This window comes from Homo sapiens, chromosome 20 (genome assembly GCF_000001405.40).
Source record: "Homo sapiens chromosome 20, GRCh38.p14 Primary Assembly".
NCBI classification, from domain to species: domain Eukaryota; kingdom Metazoa; phylum Chordata; class Mammalia; order Primates; family Hominidae; genus Homo; species Homo sapiens.
In genome coordinates, this window is record NC_000020.11 from 45,569,164 (window position 1) to 45,594,895 (window position 25,732).

Here is a 25,732-nt window from a genome sequence, read left to right on the forward strand (position 1 = left end):
AAGACCCAGGTCTTACCTCTTCAGTGGATTTCATCTTCAACCTGCCATCCTTCTCCCTTTAGGAGAGGGAGGGTTAAAATAATTTTTGATTATGAGTATCATGTGATATTTGGCAACTTACTAGAAGTTCAAAGAACCAAATGTCATACTTAAAACTTTTTGTCCCTGTACACTTACATATTAAAAGATGAATTCCTATAGATTTGTATTTATCAATAAAATTGTGTTTCTCAATTTTTACAATGTGTTTATTTACATGTTCATTATTATTATATCATTGAAATAACAAATGGATTTTAAAAATTAATTCATAAGAAAAAATTTGATTCCTGGAGTCTCATGGTCACAGTAAATAATTTAAATTTTAATTTATGCATATGTTTTTAATTGCATAGCAGTAGGAAAATAGCATGAATGGCATTGCCTAGGTTGTCTTTCAGGATTTTTATGGTTTTGGGTTTAAAATTTAAGTCTTTAATCCATCTTGAGTTAATTTTTGTAAATTGTGCAAGGAAGGGGTCCAGTTTCAGTCTTCTGCATATGGATAGCCAGTTATCCCATCACCATTTATTGAATAGGGAGTCCTTTCCCCTTCACAATAGCAAAGACATAGAATTGACCTAAATGTCCATCAATGGTAGACTGGATAAAGAAAATGTGATACATACACACAATGGAATACTATGCAGCCATGAAAAAGAATGAGATCATGTCCTTTGCAGAAACATGGTGGAGCTGGAAGCCATCATCCTTAGCAAACTAATGCAGGAACAGAAAACCAAATACCGCATGTTCTCACTTATAAGGGGGAGCTAAATGATGAGAACACATGGAGACATAGAAGGGAACAACAGACACTGAAGCCTATGGGAGGTTGGAGGGTAGGAGGAAGGAGAGGATCAGGAAAAATAACTAATGAGTACTAGGCTTAATACATGGGTGTCAAAACAATCTGTACAACAAACCCCCATGGCACAAGTTTACCTATATAACAAGTCTGCACACGTACCCATGAACTTAAAAGTTAAATTAAAAAAAGAAAATGACATGAATAAAAGACTTCTGAGCATAAGATTATATTCCATTATACTGAAAGTCTGGGGGGTAAGAGGAATGAAAATATGAGTTCAATGAAAAAAATTAATGTTTTAAATTTTCTAACTGTTAAAGAATTGCTTTCCATATATTTTAAATAGATGCTTGTGGGTATCAAATTAGTATATTTCTACCCCAGTGATTATATATATTTTAAAAAATTATGTAGCAGTTTAAAAAATTAATATTTACATGTTCACATAATGCATTGAGATTCATTTATGTTGTGTGTTGTTTGTTCTTTTTTATTGCTGAATTTTGTCCATTCTATGGCTATACAACAGGTTCATCCTTTCTCTTGTTCATGGAAATTTGGGTTATTTCCAGTTTGGGGCAATTATGAATGAAGCCCATACAAACATTCGTATAGAGGTATTTTTATGAACCTAAGTATTCATTTCTCTTAAATAAATACCAGGAAGTGGTATTGCCGGGTTATGTGACCAGTGTATGTTTGTAAGAAACTGCCAAACTCTTTTCCAAAGTCACAGTACCATTTTGCATTTTCATTAGTAATGCATGCACTACTCTCCTAAGAGTTCCACTTGCTCCACACACCTGTTAGCGTTTGGTATTGTAAATGCTTTTATTTTAGTCGTTCTAATAGATGTGCAGTGGTAAGACTGCATGCTATTTGGAGAAATGAAAGTAATTAGCCTACATTTGTGGAACTCTAAGAATCTAAGCCACTTCAAATGTTGGTGGGAAGATTTTTCGTATTTTCCAACTTCTCCTAGGACAGCTTTCAAATCCAGTTGGTTCCTTGGTTTCTGAGCCTGCTTGGGTAGGAGTTTCTCCAGAGCCCCATCATTGAACCTACTTTAAAAAAAAGTCTTCATAATTTCCATACTTTATTGTCCTTAAATCGTTAATTTTAAGTTTAATATTATTCCTTTTTTATTTTCCATGTCTGATTCTCTACCCACAATCTTTTTGTTTTCATTAGATTTTATTTGCCTTTCTTTTTCCAACTTGAAATGGATCATTGGTCAATTTCATTCATTTCTCATTTCCTATAATTTACTTCCATTTTTATTTTTAATTTGAGACATACCTCTTTCATCACTGCTTTCATTGCACTTTAAGAAATTTATTTTAATTGACTAATAATAATTATTTATATTTATGTGCTACAATTTAATGTTTTGATGTATGTACACATTGCGGAATGGTTATATCAGGGTAATTAACACATCCATCACCTCAGATACTTATCATTTTTTAAATTAGAACATTTCTGTAGCAATTCTGAAATGTACAATACATTGTTAACTATGGTCACCATGCTATGCAATAGATCTCAGAGACTTCTTTCCTTTGTCTAACTGAAACTTTATCCCCTTAACCAACATCTTCCCTTTCCCCATACACTCCACCCTGACCCCTGGCAACGGCCTCTGATAACCACCATCTACTCTCTACTTCTACAAGTTCAACTTTTTAGATTCCACATGTAAGTGAGACATGCAATATTTGTCTTTCTCTGCCTGGCTTGTTTCACTTAGCATAATGTTCTTCATCTTCATCCATGTTATTGCAAATGACAGAATTTCCTTCTTTTTAAAGGCTGAATAGTAGTTCATTGTGTATATATACCACTTTTTTACCCATTTATCCATTGCTGAACACTTAGGTTGATTCCATATCTTGGCTATTGTGAGTAATGCTGCAATGAACATAGCAGTGCCAATATCTCTTCAACATACTGATTTCATTTCTTTTGGATATATACCCAAATATGGGATTGCTGGATTATGCAGTAATTCTACTTTTAGTATTTTTGAGGAAGCTCCACACTATTCTTCATAATGGCTGTACTAATTTATACTCCCACCAACAGTGTTCAAGAATTCCCTTTTCAGCCAGGTGCAGTGGCTCACACCTGTAATCCCAGCACTTTGGGAGGCCGAGGCGGGCGGATCTCATCAGGAGATTGAGACCATCCTGGCTAACGCAGTGAAACCCCGTCTCTACTAAAAATACAAAAAAGTAGCCGGGCGTGGTGGCGGGTGCCTGTAGTCCCAGCTACTCGGGAGGCTGAGGCAGGAGAATGGCGTGAACCCAGGAGGTGGAGCTTGCAGTGAGCCGAGATCGTGCCACTGCACTCCAGCCTGGGCGACAGAGTGAGAATCCATCTCAAAAAAAAAAAAAAAAAAAAAGAATTCCCTTTTCTCCACATCCTCATCAACACTTGTTATGTTTAATCTTTTTGATAACAGACATTCTAACAGGCATGAGGTGATACCTCATTGTGATTTTAATTTGCATTTCCCTGTTGATTAATGATGTTGAGCATTTTCTCATAAACCTATTGGCTATTTGAATGCCTTATTTATTTATTTACTAACTTACTTATTTATTTATTTTCAAGACAGTCATGCTCTGTCACCCAGGCTGGAGTGCAGTGGTGTGATCTTGTCACACTGCAACCTTCGCCTCCCAAGTTCAAGCAATTCTCGTGCCTCAGCCTCCCGAGTAGCTGGAACTACAGGCATGCGCCATCATGCCCAGCTAATTTTTGTGGTTTTAGTAGAGACAGGGTTTCACCATGTTGGCCAGGCTGGTCTTGAACTCCTGGCCTCAAGTGATCTTCCTGCCTTGGCCTCCCAAAGTGTTGGGATTACAGGCGTGAGCCACCGCGCCCAGCCTTTGTATGCCTTCTTTTAAGAAATGTCTATTCAAGTCCTTTGCCCATTTTTAAATTGAGTTGTTTTCTTACTATCAAGTAAATGGAGTGCCGTATATATTTTGAATATTAACCCCTCATCATAGTATGGTTTGCAAATATTTTCTCTCACTCTATGAGTTGTCTCTTGACTCTGTTGATTATTTTCTTTGCTATGCAAACGCTTTGTAATTTAATGTAATCTCACTTGTCTAGTTTTACTTCTGTTTCTTGTGATTTTAGGGTCATATCCAAGAAATCATTGCCCACACCCATGTAATGGAGCTTTCCCCCTATGTTTTCTTCTCAGAGTTTTATAGTTTCAGCCATTGCAGTTAGATCTTTTGTCCATTTTGAGTTGATTTTTTTAAATATATGCATATTTTGTATTTCAATAGCTTTTGGGGCACAAATGGTTTTTGGTTACATGAATAGATTGTATAGTGGTGAAGTCTGAGATTTTAGTGCACCAGTCCCCAAGTAGTGTACATTGTACCCAATATGTAGTTTGTTTTATCCCTCTCTGCCCTCCTACACTCCGCCCTTCTGAGTCTCCAAAGTCCATCATACCACCTGTATACCTTTGCATACCCATAGGTTAACTCAACTTATAAGCGAAAACATATGGTATTTGGTTTTCCATTCCTGAGTTTCTTAACTTAGAATAATGGCCTCCAGCTCCATCCAAGTTGCTGCAAAAGACATTATTTCATTATTTTTTATGGCTGAGTGGTGTATATATACCATGTTTTCTTTATCCATTGAGTTGATTTTTTTGCATGGTGTGCAATAAGGGTTCAATTTTATTTTTCTACATGTGGATTTCCAGTTTTCCCAAGACCATTTATCAGAGACAGTCTCCATTGTGTGTTCTTGGCACCTTTATCAAAAATCAGTTAACCATAAATGTATAGATTTATTTCTGGGCTTTCTATTCTGTTCCATTGGTCAATGTATCTGTTTCTATGACAGTACCATGCTGTTTTGATTGCTACAGCTTTGTAGTATATTTAAAATCAGGTAGTGTGATGCCTCCAGCTGTGTTCTTTTTGCTCAAGGTTGCTTGAGATTCTTGGGGTCTTTTGTGACTCCATACAAATTTTAGGATTTTTTAAATTTCTATAAGAAATGCAACTGGAATTTTGGTAGGGATTCTGAAGTTATACACTAACAAGTGGAATAACCTGGAAGAAATTGAGAAATTCCTAGAAGCATATAATCTACCAAAACTGAATCATGAAGAAACAGAAAAACTAAATAGATCAACAAGTAAGGAGATTTAATTGGTAATTAAAAGTCTCTTATCGAAGAAAAATCTAGGATCTGATGGCTTCATGACTTCATTCTACCAAACATTTAAAGAACTAATGCTAATCCTCCTCAAATGCTTCCAAAAAATTGAAGTGGAGGGAATTCTTTCAAACTCATTTTATGAGGCCAGCATTATTCTAATACCAAAGCCATGCAAAGACACTACAAGAAAAGAAAATTACAGGCCAATATCCATGATGTACACAGAGGCAAAAATTCTCAAAAAAAAAAAAAGATCAGCAAATTGTATTCAACAGTACATTAAAAGGATCATTCACAGCCAAGCATGGTGGGTCACACCTGTAATCCCAGCAATTTGGGAGGCCAAGGAGGGCAGATCACTTAAGGCTAGGCGTTCGAGACCAGCCTGGCCAACAGGGCAAAACCCTGTCTCTACTAAAAATACAAAAAAAATTAGCCAGGCATGGTGACACATCCCCATAATCCCAGCTACTTGAGAGGCTGAGGCACAAGAATTACTTGAACCTGGGTGGCAGAGGTTGCAGTGAACCAAGATCGTGCCGCTGCACTCTAGCCTGAGTGACAAAGCGAGACTCTGTCTCAAAATAAAAGAAAAAAATAGTATCATTTACCATGATCAAGTGGGATTTATCCCTTGGATGCAAGGATGGTTCAACATATTCAAAGCAATCAATGTGGTGAACCATCTTAACAGAATTAGTGATATAAATAATATGATCATCTCAGTAGATGCGGAAAATGCATTTGACAAAATTCAACATTTTTATGATAAAAAATCTCAACAAATTAGGTATAGAAGGAATGTACATCAACACAATAAAGGCCAGATATGACAAGCCCACAGCTCTTATACCCAACAGTGAAAAGTTGAGTTTTTTCTCTGAGATCAGGAACAAGACGAGAATGCCAATTTCTACCACTTTTAATCGACATAGTACTGAAAGTCCTGGCCAGAGCAATTAGCAAGAAAAATAAATAAAATTCATCCAAATAGGAAAGAAAGCGACGAAATTGCCTCTGTTTACTTATGACATGATCCTATATATAGAAAACCCTAAAGACTCCACACCAAAAAAACTGTTAGAACTGATAAAGCAATTTATTAAACTTTCAGGATACAAAATCAACATACAAAAATCAGCGGCATTTCTATACACTAACAACAAACTACCTGAAAAACAAATTAAAACAATCCCATTTACAATAGCATAAAAAATACTTAGGAGTAAATTTAACAAAGGATATGAAAGATCTGTACACTGAAAACTACAAAATATTAGTGAAAGAAATTGGAGAAGACATAAATAAATGAAAAGATATTTCATATTCATATTTCATATGGATTAGAAGAATTAATATTGTTAAAATGCCCATACCACCCAGAACCTATCTTTTTGCCCAGCTTCCCCAAATAGCAGAGGTTGCACTTTGCAGGAAACTGAGCAGCATTTTGCAATTGAAAGGTCTACAGATGGCCAGGAGCTGGGGGAGCAGTGTGAATTCCCAGGTTACAATATTTAGGAACTACAGGTAAGGGCCCACTATGACTCTATTACATCTCGCTACCCTCTAGTTCTCCCCAGTTAGGCGCTTGCCCAGCCCCAGGCCCTGTTTCCATGGCTGAGAGCTCCTAGCTCACACCCCTCCTCATCCCCATAGCATAGCATGTTCTGTTGCAAGGCTACTCAACCAGATATGTGCCTCTAGCCTCAGTTACTAGGAAGCAGACCTTGAGGAGGACAACTAGCTCCATAAGTCACTTTAATACACCTTGCCCTAAGTTCAGGCTGAGTAAGTAAGTAAATTAGTAAGCCTCGTCCAAAGATATTTTCTTCTAAATGCTGCCTAGTCAGATATCTACATTCTGATACCGGAGAAGGATTGTCTCTAAATATTGAGTACAGAACACTCCGTACATATCTCCATATTGTGCTGCTAAAATATTTTAAATCTTTTACATTTTTTGTCCTTTTGATCTGTCAATGATTGAGAAAGGTGTGTCAAGGGCCCTCAATACAGCCATAGATTTCTCAATTTATGCCTATAATGATGTCAATGTTTGCTTTAATATATCCTGATTTGATTGGTTTAGGTAAATACAAATGTATTCCTGGTGAACTGAGTCTTTTACCATTATCTAGCAAGCCATCCTTTATCCTTAAAGATAAAACTTCGTCTTAGAGTTTTCTTTTTTTTTTTCAGACAGTCTCTCACTGTCTTTCTCCCAGGGCGGAGCGCAGTGGCACGATCTTGGCTCACTCCAACCTCCCTCTCCTGGGTTCAAATGATTCTTGTGCCTCGGCCTCCCAAGGAGCTGGGATTATAGGCATGTGCCACCACACCTGTAATTTTTGTAATTTTAGTAGAGACGGGGTCTTTCCATGTTGCCTAGGCTGGTCTTGAACTCCTGGCCTCAAGCAATCTGCCTGCCTCGGCCTCCCAAAGTGTTGGGATTACAGGCGTGAGCCAATGTGCCCAGCCTTAGAGTTTTCTATTGCCTAATATTAATCAAACTATACTCTCTCTTCTTTGTTTGCATTTGCCTAGTCTTTTTTCCATTCTTTTGCGTTCAACCATTCTACTTATGTTTTAAGTTTATCCTTCAAATCGTGTAAATCTACATTGTAAAAATCCAGTCCAGAAATTATTACCTATTAATTGACATTTATGGGCACTAATGACATATTTGGATTCATTTCTACAATTTTATTACAAGTTATCTACTCTCAGTCCTCATTATTCAGATTCTGTACTTGCCAATTTGCCTACTTGCTGAAATTTATTTATTACCCAAAAATCAATACTCATGATGCTTTTGTGGTCATTCAGGGATATGTGCAGAATGGCAAAAAATTTGAGTCCCCCAACGTACACATTCCCAGCTGAAGTCAAACAAGGCAACGCTCTGCTTGTTTAAGCTCTTCTACTACTATAAACAAGCTTCCTTTTTGCAGTCTACTTAGTGTCACATTTTTCACATTTTTGTGCTTTTTGTTGGTGAGTTTGCTGTTTAAAATGGCTGCCAAGAATTACTAAAGTGCTGTCAAGTGTCCTAAGAGCAAGAGGCCTGCAATGTGCCTTACAAAGAAATTACTTGTGTCAGATAAGCTTGGTTCAGGCATGAGTTACAGGGCTTTCAGCCACAATTCAATGTTAATGAAACAATAATATATATTACATAAGGTGTCTTTTTTTTTTTTTGAGATGGAGTCTCACTCTGTCGCCAGGCTAGAGTACAGTAGTGCGATCTCGGCTCGCTGCAACCTCCGCCTTCTGGGTTCAAGTGATTCTCCTGCCTCAGACTCCCGAGTAGCTGGGATTACAGGCACCCACCACCACGTCCTGCTAATTTTTTGTATTTTTAGTAGAGATGAGGTTTCACTGTGTTGGCCAGGATGGTCTCAATCTCCTGACCTAGTGATCCGCCTGCCTCAGCCTCCCAAAGTGCTGGGATTACAGGCATGAGCCACCGCGCCTGGCCTATATACATGTTTAAAAAATAAAGACAGGGCCAGCACGGTGGCTCATGCCTGTAATCCCAGCACTTTGGGAGGCTGAGGCAGGCAGATCACCTGTGGTCAGGAGTTCAAGACTAGCCTGGCCAACACGGTGAAACCCTGTCTCTACTAAAAATACAAAAATTAGCCTGGAGTGGTGGTGCACACCTGTAGTCCCAGCTACTCAGGAGGCTAAGGCAGGAGGATCCCTTGAACCCAGAAGGTGGAGGTTGCAGAGAGCCGAGATCACACCACTATGCTCCAGCCTGGGGGACAGAGAGAGATTCCCTCTCAAACAAAACAAAAAAAATAAAAATAAAAATAAATAAATAAATAAAGTATGTAGAGTTTTATTTAATAATTAACCACACAGATTAAAAAATAGAAAGTAGCCAGCTTCCCAGAAGTCTTCTGTGTGCACCTTCTAATTACCATCTCTGTCATGTGTCTTCAGACAGAAGCACATATAAAAACAAGGTTATGTATTGATCAAATGATGAAAATGTGTGGTCAGAGGCTTGCATTTTCCCTAGGAGCAATGGCTCAGTATTTGCTAATCCGGTGTTCACAGTGACTTTACAGAACATAACTACCCCCAAGTAATGGGAATCAACTGTATTTTTATTACTTTGGTGTACAAAGAACTTTGAGCTCTCCATGGCTTGCCACAACAAAAGACTTCCTAGGCAAATTGTCTACTGCTTTGTTCCAAGTGGGGGCTCTACTTGAGGCTGTGGGACCAAGACAAAAGAAGCAGCCTCTATGTGGATTAGGCCCCTTCTCCTGGCAGAGAGAAAGCACAAAGGAGCTGGCAGAAACTCACAGTGCAAAACTCACTATGCATATGCTACATCTGCTCATACTCCAATAGGCAAAGCACAGCTGACAGCAAACCCAAAGTCAATGAGACAGAAATGTGTCTTCCTTCCACGGGCCGTTCTAAAATTGCAAGGTAATGGACAGGAGTGTCCTCTTAAAGGAAAGATGGAATGAATAGTTGTGAATAATAATATAACCCATCACTACTACTCCTGTTTTAATTTTTTGAAAATGTTTAGATACATATTATATGCTTGTTTAATTTAAAATATCAAACTTTACCTTGCTCAGGCTCTGCCCCTCCACACTGGGCCACTCAAAGATGCCCAACTTACCCTACTTGGGCTCCAACAGCCATATCAGGTTGCATTCGAGACCAGCCTGGCCAACATGGTGAAACCCCGTCTCTACTAAAAATGCAAAACTTAGCCGAGCGTGGTGGCGCACACCTGTAGTCCCAGCTACTAGGGAGGCTAAGGCAGGAGAATCGCTGGATGCATTGATGCCCTCTTCACCCTGCTTAGGCTCTGATTCCTGACACAAGACAGCTCTGTTCTGTGGAACCCCTCCTCACTATGCTTGGCCCAACTCCCCACAGCCGACCACTCTAACTTCTATGTATCCTCCTCATCTCCTTGGGCTCAGACCCTCCATGTCTGGCTACCCACCCCCATAGACACCCTCCTCACCCTCCTTCAGTTCGGACAGTCCACATCAGGCCTCTTCCCTATGGAGACAGCTTCCTCACTTTGCTCCAGCTCTAAGGCTCCTCCCTCATCTGCTCCCCTGCCTGGACACTCTGCTCACCCCACTCAGGCTCTCATTCTATGCCAGTCTGCCCCTCTAGCCCCAGGGGGATGCCTTTCTCAACATGGGCAGGCTGGTCTCCATGCTATGCTGCTTCTTGCCTCTTCACTGGGCATTCTCATCTACCCCTGGCTCCAGCACACCAGGCCAGCAGCCCTCCTACAGAGACACCCTCCTTGACCTGTTCCAGCTCTGATGCCCACACGGAGCCAGCCGTGGCTCCCTTCCCCTTGGGGCAAACGCCTACCTTGCTAAATGTGCCTATCTAATGGCTTTAGGACTGACTAGTTCAGTTAGTAAAGAAAAGGAGACAAAACAAGGAAGAGCTACTTTTCCTTTTTGTAAAAATATGTATTGTGAAAAACACCACAAAAATAAAAATATGCATGAAACATTAATGTTCAGTCTAACGAACTATTACGAAGTGACCACTCATTAAACTATCACTGAAATCAAGTAAAAAATTTCCAACACTTTCTGCTCCTTTTTCATTCTTTTCCAGTCACAACCCCTTCCTATGCTCTCAAAGGCAGCTAATGGTAGTGACTTTCTTTTTCATATTTTCAAGATCATATGTATTCCCCTAAATATGTTTTTGTTTTTGTCTGCTTCTGTTCTATATCAATGGAGTCACTTGGAATGTATTCTTTTGTGCCTGGCTTTTTGTGTTCAACATTATATTAATGAATTCCATCCACATTGTTTTGTGTAGCTGTATTTTGTCAATTTTCATTGCCATGCCATCTATTGTATGACTACACACATCTCTACTGAGTTGTTTATAGTTTGCAGCTGTTAAGAATAAAGCTGCTGTGTGTATACATAGCATGTATGTAATAACGTTCTGCACGTGTATCCCAGAACTTAAAGTATAATAAAAAACTAGGATTTTCTAAATAAAAATGTTATTTATATCAACATGTAATAAGTTTATTACGTTAAATGAATTAATAAATGTTTTTAAATGTCAAAAAAATTTTAAACAATTTACTCATGTAAAAAAAAGAATAAAGCTGCTATGAACACTCTGTGTGCATTTGCTGGAGCACGTGGGCAGGTGTTCTTGTAGGTTATACATTCAGCATAGGGAATGATGGGTTACAGGGTATGCATATCTTCAGCTTCTCAAGCTGATACCAAATTATTTCCCAAAGAGTTTGTACCAATTCACAGCCTTGCCATTGGTAGTTGAGAGTTCCTATTGTTCCATAACCATGCTGTATGTAGAACTGTCACAATCTTTTCATTTTTACCATCCTGCTACGAGTATGGAAATACATCACTGTGGACTTAATTTAAATTTCTTGACTACTAATGAGGTTGAGCACCTTTTTAGATCTTTATTAACCACTTGGCTATCCTCTCTTTGATTTTCTTTTCAAATGTTTTGCTCATTGTTCTCTGGGGTTTTCTGACTTTTTCTTGCTGATTTCTACTGGAGTCATGTCTTTCCTCAGTTATATGTATTATGAACATCTTCCAGGATCAAGGGTAATCTTCTAAAACCCTTATTGGCTTGTCTTTTACCTTTTGAATGAAAGTTTTTATCACGTGCCCTTCCTACCCCAAAGACAGAATCAGGAATCCTTTTTCTATGTTCCTTTCCTACAATACAATAACTCGCTACAATACAATACAGTAACTCCAATATCTGAAGTCTTTGTGGACCTCTGCTGTTGGTTGTTTTTCTTGATTTTTTTCATCTTGTTTTCTTAAGATCTGTGTGATTTTTTTTATTGTGAGAGTACATATTTAATGGAAGTTTATGTATGTAACAATACTTTGTGGAATTTCTTGGATTCCTGTGTTTAAAGGAGAATTCTTCCGAATCAACTTGTCCTCAATTTTTCCCTAACAACTCATGCAATTTTGAATTAAATTCATAGCTTTAGATTTATCAGACCATGCACATGTGCCAATTTTCCTACTCTGCTCTTATGAAAGGAAACAAGGTTGCAGTTACAAATTCTCAGAATAGTCTTTTTTTTTTTTTTTGAGATGGAGTCTCGCTCTGTTCCCCAGGCTGGAGTGCAGTGGCACTATCTCAACTCACTGCAACCTCCTTCTCCCGGGTTCAAGTGATTCTCCTGCCTCAGCCTCCTGAATAGCTGGGATTACAGACACGCACCACCACGCCTGGCTAATTTTTTTGTATTTTTAGTAGAGATGGGGTTTCACCATGTTGGTCAGGCCGGTCTCGAACTCCTGGCCTCGTGATCCACCCACCTCTGCCTCCCAAAGTGCTGGGATTACAGGCATGACCCACTGCACCCAGCCCAGAGTAGTCTTTTTTCCTGTTTTGTTCAGAGCCAAAGCCAAGACAGGCAAGTTCCTTCACCACAGTTGTGCATGTGTGTGTTTCTGTTTCATCCATTTATTTCTGTTTCATCCATTTATTAAGGTGTCAGCATTTGGTGATCCTTGTGAGTGAGATTTCTGATCTGACTTTTCACATTGCTTAGGGCTTAGCTCTTTTTTCTTGCCCTTGCCAGGGGCCCACTAAAATTCAAACTGCAGATTACCAGGCATTGGCAGATACTCCCAGGGAAGCCTCTAACTAAAGCACTTCCTTATCTCTCTGGAGTCAGACCTTCACATCATTTTTGGCTTTTAAGAATTCCTCTTTCTTGCCAACTGACTCATTGATTTAAAGAGTCATGCATTTTAAGTATTTTAGACAATATTTTGGGGGGGTGATTTACTGGGAATAGTTTCTAAGAGTCCTAGTTATGAATTTTTAATTATAAAATTACACACATCAAATACCCAATAAGTGAAACAGTACAAAGAACATATAAAGAAAAGGTAATAATTTCTAAGCCACATCTCTCCATTTCTAACTCCCTCAATATTAATAGCCTTGGTTGATAATTAATAACCAATTTTAATGGGCTGTTTTGTACCCTTACCATCTTTCTCTGCGTCCAAATATATACAATCATGTATGTATATGGGTTCTGATACTTGGAAAACAAAATGAAATTATGATGTATACATTCACTACTACTGTACTTGCTTCTTTTCACTTAACTCTACCTCATGTAAGTCCATCCATATAAAAATGTAGATTGAAAATTGCCTTAAATAGATGCCCACACTCTGTTCAACATCTCTGCTCTTAAATTACTGCTAGTCTTATGGAAATTGCAGAGTTGCTTAATTTGCATATCCCCAACTACTACTGATATTAATCTTCTTTGCTTTTTAAAGTTTTTTAGTTAAAAAATTTATAATTGACAAATAATTTTATATATATTAGTGTGATATTTTCATATACATATACTTATATTGTGAAATGATTAAATCAAGCTAATTAACATCTCCATCACCTCACATACCTATCTTTTTTTGTGACAAAAACATTTAAAACCTACTCTCAGCAATCTTCAAGTGCTTTTAATTATCGGCCATTTGAATTTTCTCTTTCGTGAACTGCTTGTGCAAATCTTTTTCTATTGAGATGTTTGTCATTTTCTCATCAATGTGTTTATTAGAAAAAATAACTTCTGGCTAGTCATATGTATTGCAAATATTTCCCTCAGCCTGTAGTTTGATTTTTATTTATTATGTGTTTTGTTCTATAAAAATTTAAAGAGTTATGTAATCAATAATGCTTATTAATTTTTCTTTATGTCTTACATTTCTTGCTTAAGAAGTTCTCTCCAATGCTAACATTTGAGATCATTCTCCTAATTTTTCTCCTAAGTTATTTATTTAAAAAAATCTAACACATAGGACAGAGATTTCTACTTTTCTGGGAAAATGAACTAGATGGACTTTTCTCTATTCCTCTGATGAAATTCAGCTAAAAATCCTGGACATTAAATACACAAGAAGATTCTGAAAGGTAATAAGGGCAAGGCAGACGAGCCAGAAACCTTAAGACCTGAAGAACAGCACGGCAGCGGGATTACTGAGTTTTCTTTTTGCCTCACATATTCAAGACTGGGTGCTAGAGAAGCTGGAAACCCAGAAACACAGAAACAGAGACAATAAAAGCCTCAAAAACAAAACAAAATGCAACACAACAAAAAACCAGCCTGCTCACTCTTGCCAAAGGACCAGGAAAGAGGCAGCCTAATAAGACGGAAAACATTGAACAATAACCACTAGTATAGCCAAACACGTAGTTCCACCCCCATCAGAGCTGAGAGAGGAGCCTCAACTTCTGCCTTTACCAGGCTGAAAGGAGGAGCCCCAGTCTCCCTGCAAAGAGCCCAGACTTTGGTCACCACCAGACAGTAATGATGCTGCCTTCCCCCAATGCGTGTGCTGTCAGTGGAGGCCGTGTGGGGAGCAGAAGGATACTTCTATCCCTCTCTGCTAGAGAGGTATCAGTGGAACTTATTGAGGAGCTAGACCTCCCACCCCAGCCCAGAAGTAATGAGAGGAAACCACTCCCCCAACTCAGTTGTCAACAAAGACTCAATGGGGAACCTGATTTCTACCCCCATCCGGCAGTAATGAGGTGGTGCTCCACTCTTCCCTGCTGGAAGGGTGACAGAAGAAATCAAGGTTTAAATGAGATCTAGAATCTCATAAAATAAAACCCAAAGTTTCCAACTTTCAATACAAAATTATTTGTTATATCAAAAACCAGAAAAATCTCAAACAAAATGACAGAAGATTATTAATAGGTGCCAACACTGGGATGACAACGATGTTATAATTATATGATAAAAATTGTAAAGAGGTCATCATAAAGAAGCTTAAAGGAGCAATTATAAACAAACAAAGATATTAAAACAGAACGTCTCAGCAAAGAAATAGAAGATATAAAGAAGAAACAAATGGACATTTTAGAAAATTTTAAAAGCGTATAACTGAAATACAAACTCAATGGATGAGCTTAACAGCCAAATAGAGAGTATAGAGGAATAATCTGTGAATTTGAAGATAGAACTTTCACTCACATCCGTGTGAAGAGACCACCAAACAGGCTTTGTGTGAGCAATAAAGCTTTTTAATCACCTGGATGCAGGCGGGCTGAGTCCGAAAAGAGAGTCAGCGAAGGGAGATAAGGGTGGGGCCATTTTATAAGATTTGGGTAGGTAAAGGAAAACTACAGTCAAAGAGGGGTTGTTCTCTGGCGGGCAGGAGTGGGGGTCACAATTTGCTCAGTAGGGGAGTTTTGAGCCAGGATGAGCCAGGAGAAGGAATTTCACAAGATAATGTCATCAGTTAAGGCAGGAACAGGCCATTTTCACTTCTTTTGTGGTAGAATGTCATCAGTTGAGGCAGGAACAGGCCATCTGGATGTGTACGTGCAGGTCACAGGGGATATGATGGCTTAGCTTGGGCTCAGAGGCCTGACATTCCTGTCTTCTTATGTTAATAAGAAAAATAAAACAAAATAGTGGTAAAGTGTTGGGAAGGCGAAAATTTTTTGGGGTGGTATGGAGAGATAATGGGCGATGTTTCTCAGGGCTGCTTCGAGCGGCATTAGGGGCGGCGTGGGAGCCTAGAGTAGGAGAGATTAAGCTGAAGGAAGATTTTGCGGTAAGGGGTGATATTGTGGGGTTGTTAGAAGAAACATTTAGAATTATTGGTGATGGCCTGGATACAGTTTTGTATGAATTGAAAAACTAAACGGAATAAGAGAAGGAGAAAAACAGGTATTAAAGGTCTAAGAATTGGAAGGACCCAGGCCATCTAATTAGAGAATCTCCTAATAAGGAGATTCAGCATAGTCCTGCCAGCAAAGATTATTTATTTACTTTAAGAGTTAAGAGTGGCAGTTTGGAGATAGCACTAGGAGATATCAGCTGTGATGGCTTGGAGAAACAGTGTAAGCCGGCAGTGTAAACATATTGTCTAGTCCTTTTTAAGTTAGTGGCTGAGCTTGGTGAGGTGTGTTTTTAAAAGACCTTTAGTCCGTTCTACTTTTCCTGAAGACTGAGGACTGTAAGGGATATAAAGGTTTCACTGAATACCAAGAGCCTGAAAAACTGCTTGGCTGATTTGACTAATAAAGGCTGGTCCGTTATCAGACTGTATAGAGGTGGGAAGACTAAACCAAGGAATTATGTCTGACAGAAGGGAAGAAATGGCTGCGGTGGCCTTCTCAGACCCTGTAGGCAAGGCCTCTACTTATCTAGTGAAAATGTCTACTTAGACTAAGAGGTATTTTTGTTTTCTGACTCAGGGAATGTTGAGTAAAGCCAATTTGCCAGTCCTGGGCAGGGGCAAATCTCTGAGCTTGATGTGTAGGGAAGGGAGGAGGCCTGAATAATCCCTGAGGAGTAGTAGAATAGCAGATAGAACACTGAGAAGTTATTTCCTTGAGGATAGATTTCCACGATGGAAAGGAAATGAGAGGTTCTAAGAGGCGGGCTAGTGGCTTGTACTATAGCATAGCCTGCCTTTGCTGGTGTGTGGTGATTAGGCCTGGTGGAACTACCATCAATAAACCAAATGTGATCAGGGTGAGGAACAGGAAAGAAGGAAATATGGGGAAATGGGGTGAATGTCAGGTGGATCAGAGAGATACAGTCATGGGGGTCAGGTGTGGTATCAGGAATAATGTGGGAGGCCGGATTGAAGTCCGGGCCAGGAACAATGGTAATTGTGGGAGACTTAACAAAGAGTGAGTACAGCTGAAGGAGCCAGGGAGCAGAAAGTATATGTGTCAGGTGTGAGAAAGAAAATAGATTCTAGAAGTTATGAGAAGTGTAGAGAGTGAGTTGAGCATAGTTTGTGATTTTAAGGGCCTCTAAAAGTATTAGGGCGGCAGCAGCTGCTGCACGGAGACATGATGGCCAGCCTAAAACAGTAAGGTCAAGTTGTTTGGACAAAAAGCTACAGGGCGTGGTCCTGGTTCTTGTGTAAGAATTCTAACTGCACAGCCCTGCACTTAGGCTTTGGGTAATGAAAAGGGTTGGGATGAGTCAGGGAGAGCTAGGGTGTGGGCAGTCACTAAAGCTGTCTTCAAGGAACGGAAAGAGGAGTGGGGAAGGATTTAGGATCTATAGGGTCAGCTAGTTTTCCTTTTGTGAGTTTATGTAATGGTTTTGTTAGGATGGCAAAACCAGGTATCTAAAGTCGAAAGTATCTAACCATGCCTAGGAAGGAAAGGAGTTGTTTTGTAGGTGTTGGGGTTTGAGAGATCAGCTGAACACGATCGGCAGGGAGAGCACGTGTGTTTTTATGAGAATTACACTGAGATAGGTAACAGATGAGGAAGAAATTTGGGCTTGACTGAAGTAATGGGGGCTATCTGTGAAGGCTTGCGGCAGTGCAGCCCAGGTAATTTGCTGAGCCTGGTGGGTGTCAGGGTCAGTTCAAGTGAACGCAAAGAGAGGCTGGGATGAAGGGTGCAAAGGAATAGTAAAGAAAGCATGATTGAGATCCAGAACAGAATAACGGGTTGTGGAGGGAGGTATTGAGGATAGGAAAGTATATGGGTTTGGCATCATGGGGTGGATAGGCAAAACAATTTGGTTGATAAGGCGCAGATCCTGAACTAATCTGTAAGACTTGTTCAGGTTTTGGACAGGTAAAATGGAATTGTAAGGAGAGTTTATAGGTTTTAGAAGCCTATGCTGTAGCAGGCGAGTGATAACAGGCTTTAATCCTTTTAAAGCATGCTGTGGGATGGGATATTGGCATTGAGCAGGGTAAGGGTGATTAGGTTTTAATGGGATGGTAATGGGCATGTGATCGGTTGCCAGGGAAGGAGTAGAGATGTCCTATACTTGTGGGTTAAGATGGGGGGATATGAGAGGAAGAGGCAAAGGAGGCTTTGGGTTGGGGAGAAGGGTGGCAATGAGATGTGGCTGTAGTCCAGGAATAGTCAGGGAAGCAGATAATTTGGTTAAAATATCTCGGCCTAATAAGGGAACTGGGCACTTGGGGGTAACTAAAAAAGAGTGCTTAAAAAAATATTGTCTAAGTTGGCACCAGAGTTGGGGAGTTTTAAGAGGTTTAGAAGCCTGGCTGTCAATACCCACAGCAGTTATGGAGGCAAGGGAAACAGGCCCTTGAAAAGAAGGTAATGTGGAGTGGGTAGCCTCCATATTGATTAAGAAGGGGACGGACTTACCTTCCACTGTGAGATTTACCTAAAGCTCAGCGTCCATGATGGTCTATGGGGATTCCGAGGCGATCGGGCAGCATCAGTCTTCAGTCGCTAAGCCGAGAAGATCTGGGAAGGAGTCAGAGAGCCTTGGGCCAGAGTTCCAGGGGCTCTGGGAGTGGCTGCCAGGTGAGTTGAACAGTCTGATTTTCAGTGGGGTCCCGCACAGACGGGACACAGCTTAGGAGGAATCCTGGGCTACGGCATTCCTTGGCCTGGTGGCCAGATTTCTGGCACTTGTAGCAAGCTCCTGGGGGATGCAGGCCTGGAGGAATGCCTGGCCACTGCGGTTTGGGCATTTGGAAGTTCTTGTATGCTGGAGATGTGGCTGGGGTTTCTCTCAGAGTGGAGGCAAGGAATTGCAACTCAGAAATATGTTGTTACTTGGCTGCCTCTACTCTATTATTGTACACCTTGAAGGTGAGGTTAATTAAGTCCTGTGGTGGAGTTTGAGGGCCGGAATTTAATTTTTGGAGTTTTATTTAATGTCGGGAGCAGATTGGGTAATAAAATGTATATTAAGAATAAGACGGCCTTTTGACCTTTTAGGGTCTAGGCTGTAAAGCATCTCAGGGTTGCTGCCAAATGAGCCATGAACTGGGCTGGATTTTTATATTTGATGAAAAAGAGCCTAAACGCTATCTGATGTGGGATAAAGAAAAAGGAGCATTAACCTTGACTATGGCTTTAGCTCCAGCCACCTTTTTAAGAGTAAATTGCTGGGCAGGAGATCATGTATGGTTCTTCCAAGATTGCCAAGGTATCCTCCAACTCTCACTGGTGGTTTCGGGGCTCAATGCAGGAAATCATATTGCTGATTTTCTAGTCCAACTTGCTGTTCTCTAGAAGAGAGAAGGGGTAGGAATTCAGTAGCCACACAATCTGGTAAAAACATATCCATTTAAGCATAACTAATCCTCCCAAACCCTGTGGGCAGGGATGTTTTTCTGTGGCTCAAGAGATGCCCACACAAGGATTCTCCCAGGATGTTTTAAGTTCAATGAGCAGAGACATAAATGCCAGATCTCCTAGGGTTTGGCTAAATCAAGCAGACCTACAAGAGGAGTGTGGGGAGTCTGGGGATAGGATGAAGAAGCAGAGGCCCCAGATTGGATTGGCTGGGACTGAGGAGGCATAGCATCCTGCTGTCTGTCTCCCCACAACCTAAGAGTCCATAATTTTTGAGAACTGGATGAAGAGGGAAAGGTGCTTCTTAGATCTTACCATCTTCAAGAAGCATGCAGACATTTCCGCAGAAGACATTACTGCATTAATGATGAATTTGAGATTCTGAGTGTAACTTGCAGAAGGTTCTGCCTATCAGTGAGAATCTGTGTGGCATTTCAGTTTTGGCTTTGATAAAATTGAGGAGTATATGAGCAGTAACACCCAGGAGGGTGTTTCTCACTATTATCAGCCCCTCCAATGCTCCAGGACCCACTCCATTGATTTCCCTTCTTCCTCTCCCCAGCGCAAGGATCTGGGTGGTTTTCTTTGTTGTTGTTGTTGTTGTTGTTGTTGGCTTCTGGAGTAAAGTTCCAGTCCCCAATCATCCTCCCTTCAACAACTCAGCTGCTATGACGTCACCTCTATGGAATTTAAACTCACAGAACCTGAGTTCAATTCTTAGAGCAACTAGTTCTGAGGCACTTTCTAGTCCCCCATTTTACAGGATGGGAAGAATTGAATCTCAAAGTAGGGAAAAAACTTTCCTTCCACCTTCACCTCTCCACTTCTGGCTGAAATGGCCCTGAAAGACTCAGCTCTTCCCTACCCATATTCATCATGCAATATCTACTCACCACCTTACCTTCAATTCTTCTGAAGATTTCACTTTTGTTATCCCAGTGGCTCCAAACTTCTCTCCATCAAGCATGCATTTTATTTCTCCTTTTTATGCCCAATGTTTTGAAATACTCAATCCTAATAAAAGGGCATGTTTCAAGAAATAATTAGTAGTCCTTTCCCAATTTGGTGTTCCTCTTTGGAACTCTTAACTGAGGACATAAACTCCTAAGTTTATGTCCTCCTCAGTTTATGAGCTAGGAACCCTCCATGCAGGCTCTGAACCTGGTGGAGCTCTTCCTTGGTAAGTGTCCTCCTAGACAAAAACTCAGTGAGGCCACCACTGTCCCCCAAACACAGATAAAAACATTGCATTACTTGCAGCATCAGGAGATCCTCAAGCCTGAGAATTAAACATTTAGTTTTCTTCAGGGATTCTGACTTTTTTAAAAAGCTGTGTTTTTATGTTGCCAGCCCCTGGCACCTCTCTGCAATAGGACTGTAAAAGTCTTTTTGTTTTCCACCCACTCTTCATTTTGAAGCCCAGCCAGAATACATACAGTAATCTGAAAATTCCATTACAGGAAAAAACTCTTTCTTTCCATTCTCCTGACACTGGCAGAACCACAATGCCAAGGAGTATCAGCAATTTGGACATCTGAGTAAAGCTGGCAGGAGACTCAGGATTTTACCAGGCTCTGCTGGGGGTAGAAAAGGGTTCCAGATGAGGAGTTTGGAGAATGTGTGACTCGACTCTCACTACCTTATCTGGTTCTGCCTCCTCCACTCCTCTGGCCATCACTCCCTGGGTGGGCACTGGCTTCTCACAAAGTACTTCCTTTTTCTTATAGCTCATACACCTCTCATTGCAGAAATAAATTCTCCACACTTTTTTTTAATTTTTGAAATTTGAAAAATATACATTTGAAAAACAGAAAAGAACAAAGAGAAGTAATGAGATAGTAGTTATTCCTTACCTAGAGATAATAACTGTTGATAATTTACTACGTGTCCAGATTTTTTTACTGTATCAATACATATATCATCTGAATTTATATCTAATCTTTACCTCTACTCATATATAATCTATATATATGTGTTTTTCATCAAATATGCCTCAGATTATACATGCTGTTTCTAACTTTTTTCATTTAATCAAATATTGCAGAAATAATTTATTTTCTATAAAATGATTTTGGGAGCAAGTACTGTTTTCTTTATGTATACTGCACACAAGTGCATAAATCATTAGTGGATTTTTACTACATACATACCCATCTAGACACCACCCAGATTAAGAAAGAGATCATCAGATAATATTCCTCTTCTCTCATCCAAGAAAAGGTCATCGCTATTTTAAATTTTATCACCATCAATTAGACTTGCCTATTTTAAACTTTATATAAATGGAATAATACAGTGTGTATTATTTTGTGTCTGGCTTCTTTTGCTCAACATCATGTTTGGAAAGTCCGTCTATATTGTGGATGTTGTTCATTCAATTTCATTGTTATATAATATTCCATTGAATGAATATAATATTTAATCCATTCCACTTTTGATAGATATTTGGATTGTATCCAAGTTAGAGTCTTATGAATGTTTCTATGACCACTTTTATATATGGCACTGGGCATACATATAGATATTCCTGTTGGGTATATACCTAGAAGTGGAATTTTTGGGTCATAGGATATGCATATGTTCAGTTTTAGGAGATCTGCCAAACAGTTTTCCAAATTGGTTATATCAGTATACATTCTCATCAGCAGAATATGAGACTTCCAGTGATGCTGATTTTTCTGCAACATTTAGGTTTCTTAAAAACTTTTTTTTTTTTTTTAGATGGAGTCTTGCTTTGTTGCCCAGGCTGGAGTGCAGTGGCGTGATCTTGGCTCACTGCAAGCTCCACCTCCCGGGTTCACGCCATTCTCCTGCCTCAGCCTCCCAAGTAGCTGGGACTACAGGCACCCACCACCACACCTGGCTAATTTTTTGTATTTTTAGTAGAGACAGGGTTTCACCGTGTTAGCCAGGATGGTCTCGATCTCCTGACCTCGTGGTGCACCCGCCTCGGCCTCCCAAAGTGCTGGGATTACAGGCATGAGCCACCGCGCCCTGCCTTAAAAAATCTTTTTCATTTTAGCCCTTCTGTTATGTGTGTGTTTTGTGATTTGAATTTGCATTTTCCTGATAACTAATCAAGTTGGGCACCTTTTTATTACCTTTTATTGAACATTTGGATATTGTCTTTTATAAATTGGCTGGTTGAATCTTTTTGCTCATTTTTCAATTTTATGCCCTTTTCTTATTTATTACACATTCTTATATACCCTGGATATGAGTCCCTTGATAAATATGTATATTACAAATATCTTCTCTCACTCTGTAATTTGCTTTTTCACTCTCTTTTATTTTTTAATAAACAGAAATTATTATTTTAATGTAGTTCAATTTATCCATCTTTTCCCCTATGGTTAGTATTTTTGTTTCCCATTTAAGAAGGATTTCCTGCCCCAAAGTTATGAAGATATTCTTCTGTGTTATCTTCTAGCATCTTACGTTATATTTTTGACATTTAAATCTATAGTGTAACTTACAGATTTAAATATATACTTTAATGTATGTTTTTACTTCATTCACTTTTTTCTTTTTATTATTTTCTTCCTTCTAACTTCCACTGTGATTTTTATTTCTTTTTTTTTGTTCTGCCAATTTTTGCTTAATATATTTGATGCCGTATTACTAGATAAATCACATTTCAAACTACTATTTGTTTGTGGTGGATTGACAATTTCATCATCATGAAATGTCCAGTTTTATCTTTAATAATGCTTCTTGCTTTAAAGGCTACTTTGTCTGATATTAACATATTCATACTCACAGTCTTTTGTTAGCATTTGCATAGTATACTTGCTTACATCCTTCAACTTTCAAACCTTAAGGTAGATCTTTCAAACCTTATATTTAAGATAGATGTCTTAAGCTGCATTCGTTTTGTTTATTCACTCTGACAGTCTTTGTCTTTTATTTGTAATATTAGGTCTGTTTGTATTTAATGCAATAAATGATATATTTGGGTTTGTATCAACCAATTACTATGCAATTTCTATTGTCCAACAGCTGTTCTATTTTTCTTTTTATCCTTCTTGCACTTTGGATTAATCAAGCTTTTTTCCTATAATTTCATTAACACTGCCCCCCTCATTGACTTGTTAGTTAGTTATTCTCTTACATTACAAAATTCATCTTGGACTTATTAGGGTATAAAATAAAATTTGCATCCCAGGCAATGCAAAAATTTTCAAACATTTTACCTCCAAGTACTCACATCTTTTGTGTTTTTTTTTAATGTACCATAATTCTACATAAATCTAAATTCCATGGAAATTACTATTGACTGTATAATCAATAGTAACTTAAATAAAGATATCTCGGTTTTGGCCCTGTTGATGTTTTGGGCCATATAATTATTTGTTGTAAAAGGCTGTTCCACGCATTACGGATGTTTAGCAGCATCCTTGGTCTCTATCCACTAGATGTCAGTAGCACCAACCCCCAAGTTGTGACAATTAAAAATGTCTTCAAACATTGCCAAATGTCCCCTAGTGGGCACAATTGTCCTGACTTGGGAACCACAGATTAGATTTACCCACATATTTTCCCTTTCTGTTTTTCTTCATTCCTTCTTCCATTTTCTTGTTCATCATTTGCCTGCATAAATCTCTGATATTTCATTTCTTTTCTTTTCTTTTTTTTTTTTTTTGAGATAGAGTCTCACTCACCCAGGCTGGAGAGCAGTGGCGTGATCCTGGCTCACTGCAACCTCCATCTCCTGGGTTCAAGCAATTCTCCTGCCTCATCCTCCCATGTAGCTGGGACTACAAGCATGTGCCACCACACCTAGCTAATTTTTGTATTTTTAGTAGAGACGAGGTTTCACCATGTTGGCCAGGCTGGTCTTGAACTCCTGACCTCAAGTGATACACCCTCCTTGGCCTCCCAAAGTGCTGGGATTGCAGGTGTGAGCCACTGTGCCTGGCCTGATATTTCTTTCCATGTGAAAGTGCTGGTGATGAATTTTCTCAGTCTTTCTCTGAAAATACCTTAGTTCTGGTCTTATTTTTGAAAGATTTTTTTCTTAGGTATAGAATTCTAGGTTAGCATTATTTTCCATCAGCAAGTTGAAGATATCATTCCATTGTCTTCTCCCTTTCATTATTTCCATTGGGAAGACAGCTATCAGTATTACTGTTATTCTTAAAAAGGCATGTCTTTTTTTCTGTCAGATTTTAAGATTTTTCTCTTTGCTTTGGCTTCAAGTAAAATTAAAACAGATATACCTACATATGGTTTTACTGTGATGTGCCTAGGTGTTCACTGGTCTCAGGCGGCTTCTTTAATATGTAGCTTGATGTCTTATATCAGTTTACCAAATTCTCAGCCATTTTCCCTTTCTTTGCTCTATTCTGTCTTTCTTCTCCTTCTGCATCTCCAATTACACATATGTTAGTTCTCTCACTATATGCTATATGTCACATTCATTCTTTTCTATACTTTCTAGTATTATTTTCCTCTCCCTGTTTTAGTCTGGATATGTTCTGCTAACTTATCTTTCAGTTTGATCAACCTCTCTTCAGCTGGGTCCAGGCTTCTCTAAATAGCATACACTGATTATTTTATTTTTATCATTGTATTTTTATTTTTGGGATTTTGATTATTTTCTTTTTTATTATAATGAGTCTCTTGAATACAGCACACAGGTGGATTTTGACTCTATCTGGCTTGCCACTCTGTGTCCTTAAATTGGGGGCATTTAACCCATTTACATTTAAAGTTAATATTGTTATGTGTGAATTGTATCCTGATATCATGATGCCTGTTGGTTATTTTGCAGACCTGTTTATGCATTTGCTTCATAGTGTCACTCATCTGTGTGTTTCAGTGTGTTTTTTGTAGCGGCTGGTATTGGTTTTTCCTTCCATGTTTAGTGCTTCCTTCAGAAGCTCTTGGAAGGCAGACCTGGTGGTGACAAATTCCCTCAGCATTTGCTGTCTGAAAAAGATTTTATTTCTCCTTCACTTAGGAAGCTCAGCTGGGCCAAATATTAAATTCTAGGTTGGAAATTATTTGCTTTAAGGGTGTTTAAAATTGGCCCCCGATCTCTTCTGGCTTGTAGGGTTTCTGCTGAGATGTCTGCTGTTAGTCTGATGGGCTTCCCTTTACAGGTAACCTGGTCCTTCTCTCTGGCTGCCCTTAACATTTTTTTTTTCATTTTGACCTTGTAGAATCTGATGATTATGTGTCAGGGCTGATCTTCTCATGGAGTATTTTACTGGGGTTCTCTGGATTTCCTGAGTTTGAATGTTGGCCTGTCTTGCTAGGTTGGGTGAGTTTTCCTGGATGATACACTGAAGTGTATTTTCCTACTTGGTTTCATTCTCCCAGTCTCTTTCAGGTACCCCATCATTTCTAGGTTCAGTCTTTTAACATAGTCCCATAGTTCTTGGAGGTTTTGTTCATTCCTTTTCATTCTTTTTTTCTCTAATCTTGTCTGCCTGCCTTATTTCAGCAAGATAGTCTTCAAGCTCTGATATCCTTTCTTCCACTTGGTCTATTCAGCTATTGATACTTGTGTTTGCATTATGAAGTTCTCATGTTGTGTTTTTCAGCTCCATCAGATCATTTATGTTCCTC

The 25,732-nt window shown here is 39.2% G+C and overlaps 1 protein-coding gene across 3 annotated transcripts in view, besides 1 other annotated feature; it reads right to left on the bottom strand.

Moving 5' to 3' along the window:
- The window catches only part of WFDC8 (WAP four-disulfide core domain 8), a 28,133-nt gene extending 18,012 nt beyond the window's left edge, over positions 1-10,121 (bottom strand). For all 3 annotated transcript variants that reach the window (NM_181510.3, NM_130896.3, XM_017028119.2), the window contains exon 1: positions 10,059-10,121. In NM_181510.3, the coding sequence (NP_852611.2) occupies positions 10,059-10,084 (26 nt within the window). In that variant the 5' untranslated portion in view covers positions 10,085-10,121. The remainder of the gene's footprint in view (positions 1-10,058) is intronic.
- Positions 8,936-9,871: an enhancer, noted in NCBI's record as "OCT4-NANOG-H3K27ac-H3K4me1 hESC enhancer chr20:44206738-44207673 (GRCh37/hg19 assembly coordinates)". NCBI's record gives its function as "activates a minimal SCP1, AML or CMV promoter by ChIP-STARR-seq in naive H9 embryonic stem cells {active_cell/tissue: H9 hESC(naive)}" and the evidence as "EXISTENCE:reporter gene assay evidence [ECO:0000049][PMID:30033119]".
- Positions 10,122-25,732: the final 15,611 nt, after the last annotated feature.